This window comes from Homo sapiens, chromosome 11 (genome assembly GCF_000001405.40).
Source record: "Homo sapiens chromosome 11, GRCh38.p14 Primary Assembly".
NCBI lineage: Eukaryota > Metazoa > Chordata > Mammalia > Primates > Hominidae > Homo > Homo sapiens.
In genome coordinates this window covers 120,451,897-120,473,658 of record NC_000011.10, presented here as the reverse complement: position 1 = coordinate 120,473,658, position 21,762 = coordinate 120,451,897, and the positions used below count along the sequence as shown (strand labels likewise).

At 38.6% G+C, this 21,762-nt stretch overlaps 1 protein-coding gene across 19 annotated transcripts in view; it reads right to left on the bottom strand.

Annotated features, from left to right (window-relative positions):
• Positions 1-21,762, bottom strand: part of ARHGEF12 (Rho guanine nucleotide exchange factor 12) — a 153,525-nt gene that overhangs the window by 16,279 nt on the left and 115,484 nt on the right. For all 19 annotated transcript variants that reach the window (NM_015313.3, XM_006718805.4, XM_047426659.1 and 16 more), the window contains 9 exons: positions 16,409-16,541; positions 15,903-15,938; positions 15,425-15,579; positions 14,339-14,485; positions 12,902-12,987; positions 8,297-8,422; positions 6,351-6,465; positions 4,271-4,371; positions 532-609 (listed from right to left, as the gene is read on the bottom strand). In NM_015313.3, the coding sequence (NP_056128.1) occupies positions 532-609; positions 4,271-4,371; positions 6,351-6,465; positions 8,297-8,422; positions 12,902-12,987; positions 14,339-14,485; positions 15,425-15,579; positions 15,903-15,938; positions 16,409-16,541 (977 nt within the window). The remainder of the gene's footprint in view (positions 1-531; positions 610-4,270; positions 4,372-6,350; positions 6,466-8,296; positions 8,423-12,901; positions 12,988-14,338; positions 14,486-15,424; positions 15,580-15,902; positions 15,939-16,408; positions 16,542-21,762) is intronic.

Here is a 21,762-nt window from a genome sequence, read left to right as displayed (position 1 = left end):
TGTGGGAGGCTGAGAAAGGAGCACTTGAGCCCAGGAAATCTGGACCAACCTGACAACACAGCGAGACCTTGTCTTTACAAAACACAGAATTAGCTGGGTATGGTGGCATATACCTATAGTCCTAGCTGCTAGGGAGGCTGAGGTGGGTGGACTGCCTGAGTCCAGGAGGCCAAGGCTTCAGTGAGCCAAGACTGCACCACTGCATTCCAGCCTGGGCAACAGAGCAAGACCCTGTCTGAAACAAACTACAGAACACAATAAAATTAAATTTTATAATAATTAGTGTCCCTTAGTCTCCTGCCAATTGCTGTCATGTAATATTACAGTTTTATGCAAGATATTCCTCTAATGAAAAACTAATTTCATACAGATCAAGCATTTAAAAGGCAGCAAAAAAAATCATAAATACAGATAATCTACGATACAAGAACTCCTTCAGGTGACGTATATTCCCACTGAGATGTTAATTACCTGCCAGGTCTTTAGCAAATTTTATTTTATTTTTTAAATTATGATTAGACCATCTCTCACCCTGAGCTCTTCAACATTTGGGTACTCTGACAACTTCAGGCTGGAGGTATCAAGGCGACGCTGATAATCTTCTAGGCGCTGAAAATTAGGCAGGGTGGAACCAAGGTTAGTGCTTTGGTCATTAATGACCTCTCTATTTCTGAATCAAACTTGGCATTTAAAATCTCCATTTTGGCCAGGCGTGGTGGCTCACACCTGTAATCTCAGCACTTTGGGAGGCTGAGGCAGGTGGATCACGAGGTTAGGAGATCAAGACCATCCTGGCTAACACAGTGAAACCCCGTCTCTACTAAAAATAAAAAAAAATTAGCCGGGCATGGTGGCGGGCGCCTGTGGTCCCAGCTACTTGGGAGGCTGAGGCAGGGGAATGGTGCAAACCTGGGAGGCGGAGCTTGCAGTGAGCCGAGATCACGCCACTGCACTCCAGCCTGGGCGACACAGCAAGACTCCATCTCAAAAAAAAAAAATCTCCATTTTACTGAGCTCTTTGCAATGCTAGACAGGACTGAAAACTCACTCTCTTCCCGTGGCTTTGGTGATAATATACTCTCCTAGTTTTCCTCCTGCCTCTTTGGCTTTTCTTTCTCAATCTTCTTTTCAAAGTCATTGGTCTCTTATTAGCTTATATTTATTTTCTGAATATGTAAATCATGCACACAGTACAAAATTCAGATGGCTATATAAGGCAAAAAATAAAAAGTCTCCCTCTAACCTTGTCCTATTGCCCCACCCCCCTCAATTTTCCCTAAAGAAGCAATCACTAATATCCATTTCTTGGGTAGCCTTTGAGAAAAATTCTATGCAAACAGATATGTATTTATTTATATATGTATATATAAGTATGCTTGTCTTTGTGCATGTTGTGTGTATATGTCCTTTTTTAAAACAAGATATGGTAGCATAATATATTCATATATGCATTCCTTTGGTATTCCTATATGTATTCCTCATTGAAATGGTAGAATACATTCATATACGTATTCCCCCACGTGTGTGTGTGTGTGGTGTATGACTTATATCTTGGGGACTGTTCCACATTAGCACATATAGAGAGTTATTTCATTTTTTTATAAATGACTACAGGATGTAAAACTCTCTGAATAAACTATAATTTATTTCATTACGCCTTACTGATGGGCATTTAAGTTACTTCAACTCTTCTGTAACAAACAATACTGTAATAAAGTGGACTTAAATATATGTCTTTGTACATCCATGTAGGATATCTGTAGGATAAATTTCCAGAACTGTTGGATCAAAGGGTATGTACATTCCCCCACAATATCATTTCCAAATACATGGAAAAGTCTGAGTGAGCATAGTGAACACCTATATATTACCATCTATATTCTACAATTAACATTTGCTCTATTTGTTTTATCATATATCTATTTATTCATCCCTCTATCCATCAGTCCATCTTATTTTTTGGATGCATTTCAAAATAAATTACAGACATAAGTACACTTTACCTCTAAACATTTAAACATCCATACAGTTCTTTTTAAAAAAGTAAAATTTGCATACAGTAGAACACACATTTCAAGTGTATGTTCCATGAATTTTGACAAGTGCTTACACATTTGTGTAACCTAAACTTCTATCATGATAGAAAATTTTACCATCACCCCAGAAAGTTTCCTCATACTTCTTCCCAGTTAATTTCTACCTCCTCATCCCCAATGGGAACCAGTTTTCTGGTTTTTCCTACCATAGAATAGTTTGGTCTCTCTTAGAAGTTCATATAAATGGAATCATAGGTATGTACTCTTTTGCATCTGTTTTTTTTCCACTCAGCATGTTTGTGAGATTCATCCATGTTGTGTGCCTTAGTGGTACATTCCTTTCCTATCACTCAGGGCATTCTATTTTATAACTATACCACAGTTGGTTTATCCATTCTGTTGATAAATTCTTGGGCTGTTTCTAGCTTTTCGCTATTATGAATAAAGTTGCTATAAGCATTCTGGTCTAAGTCTGTTTGTGGGTATATCTTTATCTTCAGATAAAGATATATTTTATTATTCAGAAAATCTAGGTCCATTTGCTTATGATTGGTGTTCCTACTAAAGTTAGTTAGTTAATTTGTTATGTGCCATTCCCGGCAGGCACAATGGATAACCAGCCTGAGTATGCCAGCTCATCTATACCAGGGGTCTGCAAGGTTTTTAGTAAAATGTCAGTTAGGCTTTGCAGGCCATATAATCTCTCTCCCAGTTGTTCAGCTCCACTGTTTTGGAACAAAAGTAGCCACAGATAATACATAAATGAACAGGCTCTGTGTAGTAAAGAACTCTAATATGGTTCATTTCTCTTGAGCAAATCACTAGGAACAGAACTGCGGAGTCAAAAGGTAGATATAAGGGTACCTACAGAGTTTTAATTTAGATAAATATTGCTACATAACCCTCTGGGGTTTTATCATTTTACACTCTGAACAGCACAGCTGAAAGTACTAGTTTTTCTACAGCCTCACCAAGAGAGTTGTAATCATACTCAGCTCCTAAGAAACTACATCCGTGTTCACGGATTCAATCAGCCCCTGTATGCTCACAATCTTGAATTTTTATCTTCAACATGGTCCTCTTAGAGGTGGGCCCATACAGCCAACTGCTTACTGTGCATGTCTACCTGATATCCCAGAGTGACCTCATCATCTTCCCCACAAACGTGGGGCTTCTCCACTCATCCTGTCCATCCAAATATGCAATCCAGAAACCTGGGGGTTTATTCTTGACATCACTTTTCCTTCAAATCCTTCTTCAAATCAGTCATCAAGTCCTGTCAATTTTACCTTCTAAATACTTCTCCAACTTCTCTAAGCTGCCATCATCTATCCTAGATTGCTGCAAGAGGTTAATAAATGGGCTCTTTCATCCACCACCCTTCTTCAACTCATTCTCCATAGAGTACTAGTTCAGATAATGAAAATCTGAACACTATATTCTTACTTGTCTATGCTGAATTCCTACTGCACTTAAGAAGACAAATCAAAATCTTTAACCTGATCTCTAGGGCCTTTATGAGTTGGCCTTGGTCTACTTTACCTCATTTTATGCCACTCTGACTTTGCTTTTTAGGCATGATCCACACTCATGTAAATTTTCAATTCTTCCAACAGACCATGCTTTCTTTTTCCGTCAGGACTTTGGTATATATTGCCTCTACCTCTAGGGTTGCACCCTTCACATCATTTTGGTTCACTTCCACTCATCCTTCAGAGCTTGGCTCAAGTGTCAATTCCTCAAGAAAATTTTCTCTAATAGGCACCACCTAACATCCCCAAACTAAGCTAGGCCCCATAGTTATATATCGTAGCATCTTGAAATTATCCTTGATAGTAGCTATCACAACTGATACAAAATATTTGCACTATAATCCTGTTAAATGCCTTTCTATCCTCCTAGCAAACAAGCTCAGTGTGGGCAGATATTGCACTCATTTTCTCAACTACTCTGTACCCTATGCCCAGCATACAGTAGATGTTCTATAAATATCTGCTGAATGAAGAGATAAATGAAAGAGCAAACAAGCAGCTTGAGGTGTTTCAAAAAGTCAAATACAACTCCGATATTCTATCACAGATTGATCTTGACCTGCCTACTATGCGAACAGTAAACAAATGTTCTCCCTGTCCATTAGGTAATGATAGTTTTAACAACTATTTCACAGATTCCAGGTAATATTAATTTAATGTTCTCCCAATGTCATCCTGTACCTTCTTGTTTTCCTTTTTTACCTGCTTGTTTTCTGCCTCCTTGACAGCCTGATTTACATAATTTAAGATCTGACGACAGTGATCTGCAGCTTTCTTCACCTTCTCCCTTTCTGTTGGCCATTCTAAATATGGGAAAGAAATCCAAAATGTAAAAGAACTGAGCAAAAAACCATAAAATATATGTAAATGAGATTTCATTTCATTTCAATACTTTTAAGAGCATATTAAGACCTTGAAGATTTTTGTACCAGCTTAAAGCCTCTGTCAGAGTCTCAATTCAAGCAGTCTTTGGACAGGTAAAACTTCTTATAACAGGACTTTAAAACATAAATTCTAATCTTTAAAAAGAAATCACAGTACAGAACCCGAAATCCAAGAAGAGATGCTTTACGTGAAGTACCAGGACCACTATACTATACACTCCAGAAGGGCAGGTCTCATTTACTTTGTAAATAATATAAATGGAAATCCCTTCTCCCCTCAGAATTTCACAGTGCATAGCCTACATAATTATGTCCAGTGAACTTGTTAAACAAAATTTTTTAATAACACAATTCAAAATAATTCCAAAACAAGTTTCTTTGAATTTGAGATTATATTTAAAGAAAGAAAATAGATTACATTAAAAGAAGATGAAATTCATCAAAACGTATTGAGGCGGCAAGGCAAGGTGGCTCATGCCTGTAATCCTAGCACTTTGGGAGGCCAAGGCAGGCGGACTGCCTGAGGTCAGGAGTTCAAGACCAGTCTGGCCAATATGGTGAAACCTTGTTTCTACTAAAAATACAAAAAAATTAGCCAGGTGTGGTGGCGTGCGCCTGTAATCCCAGCTACTCGGGAGGCTGAGGCAGGGGAATTGCTTGAACCCGGGAGGTGGAGGTTGCAGTGAGCAGAGATTGTGCCACTTCACTCCAGCCTGGGCGACAGAGCGAGACTCCGTCTCAAAAAAACAAAACAAAACAAAACAAAACAAGACAAAACGTATTGAGGCTATGTCATGTCTATAATACAAAGAAGACCAAAATCAGAACATTCAAAATTATAATCCTCCAAACCACAGTCTAACTACACTGAGCAGATATATTAAAGTGTAAAAATTAATATGTATGAGTGTAAACCACTTTTGTTACCAGGTACCATAATTTAAAATTTCCTGCTTATGCATTCAAATTCTCAGGCACAAGAAACAAGATTTCAGTTGCATTAAATTATTAATGAGAGCTAAGTATAAGAACCTAAAGCTCAGCTGAGAAACAGATTCATTTCATGTTTCAAAACGGGAGAGTTGGAATTACACCGCATTGATTTGGCTTAATAAAAGTCATTGATAGATATCCATGAAACATCTCTTCAGCCAAGGATGAACCTTCTTCAAAGCAAAAATGATGCAGGCTAGAACAAGGATGGTTGAACCAGATAATTTTACACTTTGTAGGCCAAATGGGCACCGATAAAACTACTCGACTCTGCTGTTATAATGTAAAAGCAATCAGGGACAGTACATAAACAGACGAGCACGGCTGTGCTCCAATAAAACTTTATTTACAAAAACAGACAGTGAGCATGACTTGGTCTATGATTCATAGTTTGATATACCCCGTACTAAAGCTACTAATGGAGTACATTATATCAAACAGCCCGAAGAAGACTAGATCATATCTTGTTAGAAAATCTTGGCTGGGTATGGTGACTCATGCCTATAATCACAGCACTCTGGGAGGCAGGAGGACTGCTTGAGGCCAGGAGTTTGAGACCAGCCTGAGCAACATAGTGAGACCCTTGCTAAAAAAAAAAAAAAAAAAAGCCAAGTGTGGTGGTGTACCCCTGTAGTCCCAGCTGTTCGGGAAGCTGAGGTGGAAGGAATGCCTGAGCCGAGGAGTTTGAGGTTGCAGGAAACTATGATTGTGCCACTGCACTCCAGCCTGCAAGACTGAGTGAGACCCTGTCTCAAAAAAGGAAAAAAAAAAAAAAAAAAAGAAAATCTTGTCATACTATTTGGAAATCCAACTCCATTCAGGACGCTGTAAGATATTATTTACAGGATATTGGGTGTTTCGTTGTTGTTGTTCTTAAGCTTTTTATTTCAGTGAAAATGCTGTACCTGTGTATTTGGCAATATTATCCAACAGAAGTGGGTACTTAGTAAGCCTTTGCATTTGAGTGGGAATAATATCCTTCAGTTGAAGACGACGACACAGTGGATTACTTTCAGCATCCTAAAATTAAAGTGAAATAAGTGAATCTGTAATTCTTATTTGAACTTATACATGTACCATGTATTCACCGTGAGGGTTTAATGCATCACAGTTCTGGTTATTAAATCAAGATCTTTAAAAAATGCCAAGATATATCATTGCCACAATATACTTCTGCTTTCTCCTTTAATCACATAATGGGGGAAGGGAGCCTCTATTACTAAATGAATGGCTTGTTATCTGTTTAAGGAAGGACTGAAAGCATCCATAAGCAGCTCTACGTATCGCTTCCTTGTGTTGAAACAGTTTTATCTTCACCTATTCAGAAAATCTAGGTCCATTCTCCTATGATTGACATTCCTACCAAAATTGGTTAGCTAATTTGTTATCTGCCATTCCAAGTATGCACAATGGATAACCAGTCGAGTATGCCAGCTCATCTATACCAGTGGTCTGCAAAGTTTTTAGTAAAATGCCAGATAGTAAATATTTTAGGCTTTGCAGGCCATATAGTCTCTCTCACAACTATTCAGCTCTACTGTTTTGGCATAAGTGAATGAACAAGGCTCTGTGTAGTAAAGAACTCTAATATGGCCTCCAAGGTTCCCATCCTCTTGTGTAAATACTCTGTGTAATCCTATGCCCTTGAGTATGAACATTTTTGGAATCTGTGATTACAATGGGATATCACACCTATGATTAGGTTGCCACCACATGATTTTGAGATCATAAGAAAGGAAATTATCCTGGCTGGGCCTGATTTCATTAGAGGAGCCTTTAAAACAAATCTGTGTCAGAAAGCCACATTCCTACTGGCCTGGAAGAAAGCAAACATCCACCTCTAAACTGCCTAATGGGGCCATATGGCAGAGATCTCTCTGTTCTCTAGGAGTTGAAACTGGTTCCTAGCCAATAGCTAGCAAGGTAGGACCTCAGTTATACATTTACAAAGAAATGAACTCTGCTAACAACCAGTGAGCTTAGAAGAGAACCTCGAGCATCAGATGAAAACTGCAGCTCCCGCTGACGCTGTGATCTCAGCCTGGTCAAACTCTCAAGGGAGGAACCTGCTAAACCATACCCACACACCACAACAACTGTGAGAAATCTGTCAAGCGGCCATGTTTGTATTTACATAAAACTTTATAAAAACAGGTAACAGACTAGATATGGTCTGTCGGCCATAGTTTACCAACCCTTAATTCATATACCCCAATGAGTGTGGCTGCTGTTACGTTTTTCCCTGGATAAACCCATTCTCATGCTTTGACAATATTCTCTTAATAGAGCATACGGTTGTTTACTGATAAAAGCCTCGTGGCAATGTGGATTTCTATATTAAGTATTTTAATCCTGACATATATTTTTTATTATTCTTCACCATTCCAAAGTCATTTTTGTACCTTCCAGGAATTTAAGAGATAATGTATTGCTTTTAAAAATGTTAACGTGGGCCAGGTGCAGTGGCTCACACCTGTAATCCCTTCGGGAGGCCGAGGTGGGCAGATCACTTGAGGTCAGGTGTTCGAGCCCAGCCTGGCCAACATGGTGAAACCCCGTCTCTACTAAAAATAGAAAAAATTAGCAGGGCGTGGTAGCATGTACCTGTAATCCTAACTACTAGGAAGGCTGAGGCAGGAGAATCGCTTGAACCCAGGAGGCAGAGGTTGCAGTGAGCTGAGATTGTGCCATTGCACTCCAGCCTGGGCAACACAGCGAGACCCTGTCTCAAAAAAAAAAAGTTAACACAGATGTAATCTTTGTAAAAGTCTTAGTCAGAATTCCCCCAGTTTATCTGATAATTGATAAAAACTTGCCTTATTTTTTTTCTTACATGACTCACTCAACTCACTTGCACAAAAGTCTGAAATCGAGAATCCTTTTTCTGACGAGATTTGATCATTTCCAGGGCGAAAGGTTGGTTACTGCAAAAGGTAGCAGCAGCATGTTTCAATTTCTCCTCTCCTGGTCCGCTGAACTGTGCCAAGAATGCAAAGAACACAAAAGAGAATGGGAAACTGAGCTTATACAAGCCAGACAAAGTGACAGACAACCAGAATCCTTTCAATATTTCAAGTGACAAAATACACAGAACTGCATATCTATGTGGAATATCAATGGTTCTCCATTAAAAAGGTCTGATCTTGACACAACCAGACCTTTTCTGATCATATTCCAATGTTTTCTTCTTCTTTTTTTTTTCTTTTTTTTGAGACAGTGTTGCTCTGTCGCCCAGGCTGGAGTACAATGGCATGATCTTGGCTCACTGCAACTTCTGCCTCTGAGGTTCATGAGATTCTCACCTCTGCCTCCCAAGTAACTGGGACTACAGGCACACACCACCACACCCAGCTAATTTTTGTATTTTTAGTAGAGATGGGGTTTCACCATGTTGGCCAGGCTGTTCTCAAACTCCTGACCTCAGGTGATCTGCCCACCTTGGTGTCCCCAAAGTGCTGGGATTACAGGCGTGAGCCACTGTGCCCAGTCCCAATGTTTTCTTGCTTGTAGCCTATCACAACCTATTACCTTTCAGCCTACGTTACTTATAAATTACACAGACAAGCTGACATTTGGAGAATATAAGATACAAAATGCCTGAAGACTGAGACTAAATTTTCATTTTTTTTTTTTTCAGACAGTCTCATTCTGTGGCCCAGGCTGGAGTATAGTGGTGCAATCTCAGCTCACTGCAACCTCCGCCTCCCAGGTTCCAGTGATTCTCCTGTCTCAGCCTCCCAAGTAGTTGGGACTACAGGCGTGTGCCACCACGCCTGGCTAATTTTTTTTGTATTTTTAGTAGAGATGGGGTTTCACCATGTTGGCCAGGCCGGTCTTGAACTCCTGACATCAAGTGATCCGCCTGCCTTGGCCTCTCAAAGTGCTGGGATTATGGGCATGAGCCACTACATCTGGCCTAAAATTTAATTTTCTTACACCCTGAAGCCTTTACAACAACTACTGTCTTACTACTCTGGGAAGCAAATCCTTGGCATACTAGCATTCCTTCTTACTCAGTATAAAACCCACTATGACCATGGGCAGGCCGTAAGTTTTCTGTGTTGAAACAAAATTAAATCACTGCTGTTTCACCTGTGCAGCAGCTGGAGCTGGCTTGGGGGAGATCAATGAGCTTATGAATTCTTTTGCTAAAAATTATACTTCTCACTAATGTTTTTTAATTTGTAAATTTAAGTTTGCATGTGCCATGATTTTAAGATTTCTGATGGTTAAACACCTAAAAAGTGATTTACTAGTAGGTGCTCGTAGAAGTCAAATACATTGTTTTTTAATACAGCCTCTATACTTGTAGATAATTGCTTTATGGTTTACGAAGATGTTTTCCATATAATCTTCCATTTAAAGCCATATTCCCAAAAGTTTGTACATAAAGGCATTTTGTAAAAAGCCCGCCTGTAGCGCATTTGTAGATAAATTCAGAGTATTTTTTCAAGTAGGACACATACAAAGCAATATTTTAATAGGTCACTCCAATTTTGTATTCTTACTCTATGATGAATATGACATTTAACATGTTTAACAAGGAGACTGGCAGCATTTTTAGCATGTTAGTCAATCAAAGCACCACACAACTACAAAAAGCAGCTGGGTTTACCAAAGAAAATAATGCCCCCAAACTCAAGCAGTTCTACAGTAGTTTTTTTTGGTTTTTTTTTTTTTTTTTTTTTGAGACTGAGTTTCGCTCTTGTTGCCCAGGCTGGAGTGCAATGGCTCGATCTCAGCTCACCGCAACCTCCACCTCCCAGGTTCAAGCGATTCTCCTGCCTCAGCCTCCCGAGTAGCTGGGATTACAGACATGCACTACCATGCCTGGCTAATTTTGTATTTTTAGTAGAGATGGGGTTTCTCCATGTTGGTCAAGCTGGTCTTAAACTCCTGACCTCAGGTGATCTGCCTGCCTCGGCCTCCCAAAGTGCAGGGATTATAGGCATGAGCCACTGCGCCCGGCCTCTACAGTAGTTTTACAAGCAGTTTAAGTATAGATGTTCCTTGATTTCTGATGAACTTATATCCTAATAAAACCATCAAAAATTGAAAATATCTTAAGTTGAGAAAGCATTTAATACACTGAACCTACCAAATACCATAGCTTGGCCTAGCTGACCTTAAATGTGCTCAGAACACTTGCATTAGCCTACAGCTGGGCAAAATCATCTAGCAGTACAGTACACTGTAGAGTGGTTGTTTACCCTGTGATCACATGGCTGACCAGGAGCTGTGGCTCACTGTTGCTGCCCAGCATCAAGAGTAACATACCACATATTGCCAAGCTCCGGAAAAGATTAAAATTCAAAATTCAAAGTATGGTTTCTATTGAATGTGTATTACTTTCCCACCACTGTAAAGTAAAAAAACTGTCGAAGTTGGAACCATAGTAAGTCAAGGATTGTCTGTGTATGTAAAGTGATCTTAAGGAAACAATACTGGAAAAATACTTTCCAAAATGATTTTATTTAAACAGCAAGAGTAAAATCTAAAGGCCTATTTATGATTTTTGCTTTTATGATTTCTGGCCAATGCCTTCTTCTAAATTAACGCTTTGTATGTGACAGTTACAAACCACCATTCTGCTTTTCCTCAACTTTTTACAGGTACAGGCATACCTCACATTTTTATTGTACTTTGCAGATACTCCATTTTTTACAAATTGAAGGTTGATGGCAACCCTGAGCAAGTCTGTTGGTGCCGTTTTTCCAAAACCATGTGCTCATGTCATGTCTCTGTGCCACATTTTGGTAGTTCTCATAATAGTTTAAGCTGTTTCATTTTACTCTGTTACGGTGATCTGTCATCAGTGATCTTTGATGTTACTATTTATTGCTTTGGGGCACCATGAACTGCACCCACATATGGTGGCAAACCTAATGGAAAAATGTTGTGTGTGTTCTGACCGCCCCACCAACTGACCATTCCCCCAACTCTCTTCCCTTTCCTTGGGCCTCCTTATTCTGAGACACAACAATATTGAATTTGGGCCAATTAACAATGCTGCAATGGTCTTTAGGGGTTCAAGTGAGGAGTCACATATCTCTCACTTGAAATTAAAAGCTAGAAATGATTAAGTTTAGTAAGGAAGGCATGTCAAAAGCTGAGATTTGGCTCTTACGCCAAATGGCCAACTTGTGAACACAAAGAAAAAATTCTTGAAGGAAATAAAAGTGCTACTCCAATGAACAAATGAACAAGAGGAAAGTGAAACAGCCTATTAGTCTGTATAAAGAAGATGAAATCAGCCACAATATTCCCTTAAGCCAAAGCCTAATACAAAGCAAGCCCCTAATTCTCTTCAATTCTATGAAGGCTGAGAGGTAAGGAAGCTGCAGACGAAGAGTTTGAAGGTAGCAGGGGTAAACTGATGAGATTTAAGAAAAGAAGTCATCTCCATAAAAATAAAAGTACAAAGTGATGCAGCAAGTGCTGATATAGCAGTAGAAGCTATAGTAAGTTATCCAGAAGACGTACCTGAGATAATTGATTACAGTGGCTACACTGAACAACAGATATTCAATGTAGATGAAATAGCCTTCTATTGGAAGAAGATGCCATCTAGAACTTTCATAGCTAGAGAGGAGAAATCAATGTCTGACTTCAGCATGTCAAAAGAAAGGCCAGCTCTCTTGTTAGGGGCCAATGACTTTAAGTTGAAGCCAATGATTGTTTACCATTCTGAAATTCCTGGGACCCTTAAGAATAATGCTAAATCTACTCTGTCTGTGCTCTATAAATGAAACAACAAAGCCTAGATGACAGCATGTCTGTTAAGACCTACTGCTCAGAAAAAAAAAAAGTTACTTTTAAAATATTACTGCCCATTGACAATGCACATGGTCACTTAAAGACTTCTGATGGAGATGTACAAGGAGATCAATGTTGTTTGCAGGCCTGCTAACACAATATCCATTCTGCAGCTCATGGACCAAGGAGTAATTTTCACTTTCAAGTCTTATTATTTAAGAAATATATTTCATAAGGTGATTCCTCTGATTGGTCTGGGCAAAGCAAACTGAATACCTTCTGAAAAGGATTCATTATTCTAGATGCCATTAAGAACATTCATAATTCACAGGAGGAGGTCAAAATATCAATATTAACAGGAGTTTGGAAGTTGATTCCAACCCTCATAGGTGACTTCGAGGGGTTCAAGACTTCAGTGGAAGAGGTAACTGCAAAAAAACTAGGATTACAGTGGAGCCTGAAGGTGTGACTGAATCACTGCAATCTCATGGTATGACTTTTAATGGATAAGGGTCTGCTTCTTACAGATGAGCAAAACAGGTGGTTTCTTGAAATGGAATCTACTGCTTGACCTTTCTCAGCTTTGCATTAACTTTGCAACATGGATGAGTTTGCATATTTGGAAAGGTTAGTTACTCAACTTGAATCTAACCATCAAGTGTCCATAAAAATATTAAAAAGAAACAGAAAATTTCCTTACCCATGTCAGCAAATCTTCCCCAATCTGATCGATAACAGAGGTCTCATTTCTCTTTCGAACAGCCTTCATTTGTTCATTCAATCCAACTAAAGATAAAAAGATAGAAAAACGTTAGTAACACATTCAGTGTAGACAGAATTACTGGTAGTACAGAGTAGCTAATTTTTTTTTTTTATAAAGACGATTTTCACAGTAGTACAGCTGCTTCTTATCTCCTTAAATATAAATCTGGACATAGTGCTTACACATCTGGATATTATAAGCTCTATCTGAAAAACAGGTGCTAAACAAAAAACATTTTTGGAAACTAGCACATTACATACACGGTGGTTGCATCAAATATTCATTGAACCTCAAGACTCCATCTATAATCATGCTCAAAAAGAACTTGAATTTAAACAGTACAAGTAATTCTGTTCACTGATCCTCTCAAAATGTGTTAAGTGTGCAGGCAATGGATGTAATCAAGCCTGAACTTGTCAATGCATGCCTGTGAAACCCAAGATTATCCACAAAGGAATAAAAGGCATCAATTTAGTTAGCAGATGTTGATAGTTAGTGATGACATGAAAAAGAAAGATAAAAAAATTAAGGGTCATAGAGAAATAGTGACCTATAAATGAGAGGAACATCATATTACTGTCCACAAAAGTCCAAGATGACTTCAACCAATAAAATGTCAACAAGGTAGAATTTTTATATACTTATTCAAGTGTTCCAAGCAACAAAACAATAAAATAATTCCTGAGGCCGGGGCAGTGGCTCATGCCTATAATCCCAGCACTTTGGAGGCCAAGGCAGGCGGGTGGATCACTTGAGGTCAGGAATTTGAGACCAGCCTGGCCAACATGGTGAAACCCATCTCTACGAAAAATACAAAAATTAGCTGGGTGTGGTGGCGCACGCCTGTAATCCCAGTTACTCAGGTGGCTGAGGTGGGAGGATCCCTTGAACCCAGGGGGCAGAGGTTGCAGTGAGCCAAGACTGCACCACTGCACTCCAGCTTGGGCAACAGAGCGAGACTCCATCTCAAAAAAATAAAAACAATTCCTAAAAATTACCGAACCATGTGATTATATACCATACACTACTATTTACAAAACACATTTATACGTATATTATTATATTGGATATATATATTTAAAGAGATATATATACTATAATTGATAGAAAATTTTCAACGGTGAATTTGACTATTCATGTTTTTCACCTTAGGCAATGACTTTAGACTGGAAGCCCTATGTTGACACATTGTACATGAAAGATTGATTGTGAGGAAAAGGATCTAGTCAAAGTTCCAATCATTCCTTTATTTATCTTACATTCTCACACATAATCTCAGGAATACTAACATGGGTACATTTACAAAATTTTAAACTCACAATCTTTTCTCTATTGGAAATGTTAGGGGCAAAGATCAGAGCTAATTTCTCTTACTATGAAGTTGAAGAATATCTTCCAAGTTTGAAAAAATTTTCCGTAGCTCTGAGGGTGACAGAATTCCTTCTCTGGATACTCGCTGATAGAACACTTGATCAAGAACCTTCAGTGTTCGAACATGAGCTCTTTCAGTGTAGAACAATTCTGAACAGGAAAGAGATATGAAATGTTGCCTTACTTAGAACAATTCCATGGGATCAATCATAGTCTTTAGCTGGAGTGAAGTAGCAAATGAATTATATAATAAATTATTTATCATTTAGAAAGGATGAAATATCTCTGAAGTCATTCTGATTCCAAGAAATTTTCCTACATACTGGCTCTGAGAGTTGAATACTGACAAATAAAAAATATCATTCAAAACTATTTTTTTTAGTGTATTCCCAAACACATCCAGCTGTTTACAATAATACCCACCTATCACAACTACATCATTAAGAAAACTGTAAGCCCCAACATCATATAGCCTTTAACTTGAGCCCTCTTAAGAAATAATAGTACTTTTGGTTATCTAATTTGCCTATAAACACTCACTTCTGGGGTCAGGCTTATAATTTCATTATGTCTCAGTATTGTCAGAGACAAGATATTTATTCATATCACATGCTAAGGATAGTAAAGGGTACAGCACCCATGCCACACATTTATCACATACATGCTAGGGTAAATAAAGAACACTGCACTTCGATACAGAAAGACCAGGAACTGAATTTTTTTCCTTACACGTTATTAGCTGTATGATCTTAACGAATTCAATCTCCCTGGGCTTTACCTTCCTCATTTAAAATCTATGCATAAAAATAACTTAGTTGTTGCAATGACTTTTCAACTTTAAGATCTATAATGCTATGAATCTTAAATATCTTTAAGGCTTAACACATTTTCCTTTTAAATTATCAATAAGAATCAGAGAAACATTTGCATTTTCTTGAGTTCAAGGATTATCTGTCCAGTTTAATTTCCTCTTTGTTTAAAACAAAAGGCTAGGAGAAACTTTGAAGCAAACTCCAAGGCTGAGAGACTTAATTCACTCTGACAAAACTCAGTATTTGTAAACAACAACAACAAATTGATTACACTCACCATTAATCACTTCCTGTCTTTTGATTTCACAAGGTTTTAGTCCCAGTAACACTTCTCGACTAACAAGCTGCTGCCAGTTGGGTGGATCTGTCTCTAAGTCATTTTCAAATTGTTCATCCTCACTTTGACTTTCTCCAAAAGCTACACTGTCAAACCTATGAAGAAAAAAGAGTGAATTCAATTTGAAGACTTTAGGTGGACAATGAGAAACAGCACAAATCTTTATATTACAATAAATTCTAATCAGATTCCTGAATCTGACTTAGCACTGAAATTTCATCCTCTCCTACAAATGGCTGTTTTATACATACTTCAAAATACAGCTTTTGAATGACCAGTGTTTCTTAAGAGCTTTCTTTTATACTACATAACAGATTGGTATACAGGGTTTCTTTTCCTTTAAAATGAAACTTTAGAGGAAAAAAGGTTACGTTTCTTAAAATGCGCCTTTATTGAAAGCTGCTTAAGATTTACTTACTTTCGAAAGGGCTTTGGTGTCCCATGTTCAGTCACCCTAAAACAATGGAAAGTAAAGAGTAACATGAAAACAAAATGGTGATCAATACATTTATACCAAAGATACTCAAAGCTAGGTTAAACTCCAGCAGCTTGATAAATAATTCTTTGGGATATTGTAATAATTTAATATAAAATAAATTGAAGAAAATTTGAGTACCTTTCTACATTTCAGTTATGAGTTCTGAAATGGTGTTTTAGTTCTTTTATGCACCCAACTTATTTATTTATTTATTTATTTTATTTTTTACAGTTTGAAGTGGGGGCTCACTACGTTGCCCAGGCTGGTCTCAAACTCCTGAGTTTAAGTGATTGATTCTCCTGCCTCAGCCTCCCAAGTAGCTGGCATTATAGGTACATACCACCATGCCAGGCTTCAGTGCTAGAATGCTACTAAGTATAGGAATAGCATATAATTTAAAAACTTTAAGTAATGCCCTAAGCTTCTCTAAGAGATCACTGAATTACCTTTCTACTTCACATTCCTCCTCCTGCACTTGGTCTAATGGAGGTGGTGGGAAATCAAAGACAGTATTGAGAGTACGAGGTGTGCCATCTAAGGTGTCTCCAGGTGCTGATGTTTCTCCAACTTGCTTTGATCCTGTAGACAAAAGTCAGACATTTGAAGAGTGTTAATACTTAATAAAGTCACTGGTCACCAAAAAAAATTAGTTCCCAGAACAGCTTCAGCCTAATCCATAGCTACATTCTTATTTAAACAACTGCAGGTTCACTAGAACTAAAAATTTAATATACAAAATTATGGCATCTCAGGCTCACATGATCCTCCCATCTCAGCCTCATATGATCCTTCCATCTCAGCCTTCCAAGTAGCGGGGCCTACAGTTGCGTGCCACCACACACACCTGGCTCATTTTTAATTTTTTTGTAGAGATAGGGTTTTGCTACTTTGCCCAGGCTAGTCTTGAATTCCTGGGCTCAAGCAATCCTTTCGCCTTGGCCACCCAAAGTGCTAGGATTATAGGTGTGAGCCACCATGCCTGGTCAGAAAAATAATTTTTAAAACTGTTTCTTAAAAATTAACGTAAGAAATAGCAAGGACTCACACAGTGCAGAAGAGTATATGATGAGGAACAACATTTTCCCATCTTATCCTTTTCTACTCCCAGTATCAATCCTTTTTCATGTTTTCAAATGTGAGTTATTACAGTGGTCCAACTACAAATAACCTCTTTTTCATGATTTATTATCTTTAGTTAATATCTATTTCTTTCCCCTCTGAGGATTTTGTTGACTTACACTTTCCACTTTCACTTTTCTACCATTTCTTCCCAATGTTTAATAGTTTTATCATTATTACTAGCTGGGTTATTAGTTACTACCTAAATTTAAATGACATGTCTATGTTTTTGTTCTATCAAAAAGTTAGTATCTCAACTCTCTTCTGTGTCAGATTAGGTATTCAGTGTCCACATCCTCCCTCTAATTGTATTTCCTTCCTTCTACCTTCCATTTCTTTCAACTACATTTTTACTTGCATCATTAAAAGAATTTTTTACATTTATATTCTAACCTGCAGCCATAATGAACTACTCCATGCTTGCCTGGTAGGGTTATTCTAAAAGTCTGAAAACCAAGAAAGAATGCTTATGACATATATATACTGTCGTCTACTACATACATATATACATCATTCCTGCCAGATTAAGAAATATACTAGTTAGGATTATATATTTTTTCCTACCGGTCCAATGATGCAATCCATGGGCCACTTCAAATAGAACATTTATTAAAGTCTTTCTTACACACCATCAATTGCTAAAGATCATGCCACTTTTTATTTTGCTTCATGTTTAAATCATGACTTATTTTCCTGAACAATTCTGTTTTTCTTAACATTTCTAAATGCTTTTCTTTTATTGCTGTCAAAGTTATATAATTCTATCAAGTCTCAAACTATTTCCTCTGCTGCTTCATACTATCCACTGCCTAAAATCCCCATTTTCTTATCTGTGATGTTCTTGTGTTCCAATCTGGAGCAGTGGCTCTCCTGGCCTGTTACACAACCATCATTTTAGAATTGCCCTTTGCCACTTTCCTGGGTGTTTCCAGTGTTTCCTGGATCCCAGGACATTTTCTTTCTTAATTTTTCCTCTCATGTTGCTAGAATGTGTATCCTCAAATGATTTCAAAGGGAAAGGTACATTCCAGTTAAACTGTGGACCTTGTGTATCTGAAAATGTCTTTATTCATTCTTCATATTTGATGAATAGCTTGGATGGATACAGGATTCTAAGTTCAAAACCATTTTCCTTCAGAAAGTTGAAGGCATGGCTCTTTTGTATTTCAGCATCCAGTGTTATGATGAGGAATGTGATGCAGTGTAATCCCCATTTTTTTTCCTCTGAAAGCTTATCCCTGGTGCACTACAGTTTCAAAGGACATGTTAGGAATGGATTTTTTAAAAAGCATTCACTATAGATGGTTCTCAGTGAGCCCTTTCCACCTGAAGATGGGTATTCTTTTTCAACTCTGGGAAACTTTCTCCTGTTGTTTAACCATCTCTTCTCCATGTCCTCAGCTGACTTTTTGTGAAAGAGACAGATGTTGGCTCTCTGTAGTGGTTCCCTATATAATTCTTTTCTCTCAAATTTCTATCCTTTCATATTTCTGATGTACACTCTAAAATATTTCCTTGACTTTAATTTTAGGGACTTCTTTTTTTTCCTTTAAACTCTGATCGCTGTGGTGGTCTGAAAATATACCCACACATTTTTTGATATTTCTCCCCTCAGGGGTGGAGCCTAATTCCTCCCTCCCTGAGTATGGGCTAGATTTAGTGACTTGTTTCTAACTTGCAGAAGTGACAGAGTGCACCTATAGAGACTAAGTCAGAAAAGACATTGGGGCTTCCTTTTCGCTCTCTTTTTTGGGATACTCGGGAAAAGCCAGCTACCATTTCATGGAACACTCAAGTATCTCTATGGAAAAGTCCATGTGGCAAGGAGCCAAGGCCATGAGTGAGGAGCTAAGGCCTCCTGCCAACAGCCACCTGAGTGGGCACAGAAATGGGTTCCCCAGCCCCAGTTAAGCTTTCTGATGACTGGCTAATATCTTGACTGCAACTTTATGACAGACTCCAACCGAGACCCACGCAGCTAAGCTGCTCTGGAGTCCTTCATCCACCAAAAAGTCGAGATAAATTTTTTTTGTGTTAAGCCATTATGTTTTGGGGTAATTTATCACACAGAAATTGATAATACAACAGATGTCACTGTGTTTAATAGTTGTATTAAAAATATTTTGTCTCTGAATGCTCCCTATTCTTGCTTTATAGAGATAATAACTTCTTTAATGTCCCCAAGTATACTACCTAATTTAGAAGTATTTTCTTAAGTTCTTGTCTATTATCAGATTATCTTTCTCTTGTAGGGAAAATTCTTCTGTTTAACTGTATTCTCTCTTTATGTCATTGTCTGATATGTTTGGCATTATATATTATCTTACGTCTTGACTCTGACAAGGGTGAGTAATGATGTTCGTGTTTAATGATGAAAGTGAGTAGCTGACTTGGCTTTCTTTTGCTGCTATATAGTAATAGGTCTGTTTCAGTTGAGAGCTCTCTGAGCACAGTGGGTTGCCGGCATGCCTAGTGTCAGGCTTTGGACTCCCAAATGTCAGAACTCCAAGCGATCAATACTGCGGAGGGACTTAACTCTCCCTACACAATTCACTGAATTATTTTAAAAAAGAGCACTGTTTTTTTCTTCTAGTCTACAAGTGACAGAGACTGCTCATACTCTGTAATTCAGGGATTAGAAGCTGCTGATATAACTATTTTGATTATAGACCTGCAATTAGTTCATCATTTTTGCTCTTTTTCTTATTCCTGCACTGCATAACATATGCTAACTCTGAGCCCAAAGTCTCTCCAGGGTTCCAATGAGCAGACTGGGTTCTATCTTGGACTGTTTAAACAAATTGTGGGCTCTGGCTTCCTTTATGGTTTTATCTTGTGGTTCTCTGTTGTTGTTTTTCTTGAGATAGGGTCTCATTCTGTCATCCAGGCTGCATTAACGGTGGCAAGAACATGGCTCACTGCAGCCTTGTCTTCCTAGGATCAAGTGATCATCCCACCTCAGCCTCTTGATTAGCTAGGACTACAGGCACATGCCATATGACTGGCTGACTTCTTCATTTTTTGTAGAGACAGTCTTTTCATGTTGCCCTGGCTGGTCCTGAATTTCTAGGCTCAAGCAATCCTCCTGCCTCAGCCTCCCAAAGTTCTGGGATTACAGGAGTAAGCCACCATGCCTGGCTTCTTTACACTCTTGTCTGCTTTCAATCTCCCAAGTATTTGTTAAAATCTCTTATTTCCTGATAACACATTCCCTTCCTCTACTTTCTTTCTCTTTATGGTTTCTGTTCATCCGCCACCTACCATGTTTTTATTTTAATAAGTCACAGGAGCCATGAAATATCAGTGCATATACCCAATCTAACATCTTCAGAGTTCCATATTTGACAAAATCCCCAGAATTTTCTCCAAATGTCACTTGTACTTCTTGGCCTTATGTAGAAACCTGCCTATTCCCAGCAGCTTACCTCTTCTGCTACAGCCCTCTGAGACAGAAACTAATATTTCTGTCTTATATGGTGTATGTCAGGGTGGAGATGAGATGAATGGCCTTCTTGTTCCTCAATATGATTTTTGGACCATTATCTTGTCGTTTTTTTTTGTTTTTGTTTTTGTTTTTTGAGATGGAGTCTCACTCTGTTGCCCAGGCTGGAGTGCATTGGCACGATCTTGGCTCACTGCAACCTCCACCCACCTCCTGGATTCAAGCAATTCTCCTGCCTCAGCCTCCCGAGGACCTGGGATTACGGGTGCATGTCACCATGCCTGGCCAATTTTTGTATTTTTAGTAGAGACCGGGTTTCACCATGTTGGCCAGGCTGCTCTCCAACTCCTGATCTCAGGTGATCCACCCGCCTCAGCCTCCCAAAGTGCTGGGATTACAGGCATGAGCCACTGCACCCGACCTTGTCTTCCTGTATAATCTCTTGCTCCACTGAGGCTCTCATGCTCTGGATATTATCACATTCTCTTCCTCCTCATATCAATCATCTAGCAATGCTAAACCTTTGGCTGGTGGCTCACAGTTTTCCTCTCCATGATAAAAATCACACTTGGTGACGTCACTAGCCATGAATATTAAGCTATTCAAACTCCTGGCTTCTTGGTTCCTTGCCGTCTTCATCCCTAGTAGCCTCCTCTATGGCACCTCAGGGACCACTCCCAGAGCCTCATTCTTGATCATGTCACCACCAGAAATTGAACCGCCTCCCAAACAAGGATGAAGACATGGTAATAAGCTCCTTGCCCAATTACCTACGATTGCTTCATATCTTTCTTTACTCTTCAAATTCCCTTGCTCTTCTCACTGAACTCTCACTCTCAGTAAATAGTCTTACCCTTTACATACACTCTACATCTCATCTCCTCTCTCCTCACAACTCTGTTCTACTACTTATATACTGTCTCCCACATATTCTACCCTTTCTTTCAGCTGGCTTCCTATTAACATTGAAAAATAAAACCTCTAGTTAATCTCAGATTTTTAAAAAGTCTTCTTTAGATACCCACATCTGCCTCTAACTACTGACCAGTTCCCTCAATACTCCCTTTACCTTCCCTTGATTGGACTTGGCACAATTTGCATTTTTTACATTTGTGACTATCGCTCTCAAGAGAGAAAGCTGCATGAGGCAAGCATCTGTGTATAATTATTGCATGTTAACATCCGGGACAAAGCTAATGCCTGACAGAGAGCTTAATAAATATTTTTTTGGACAAATGA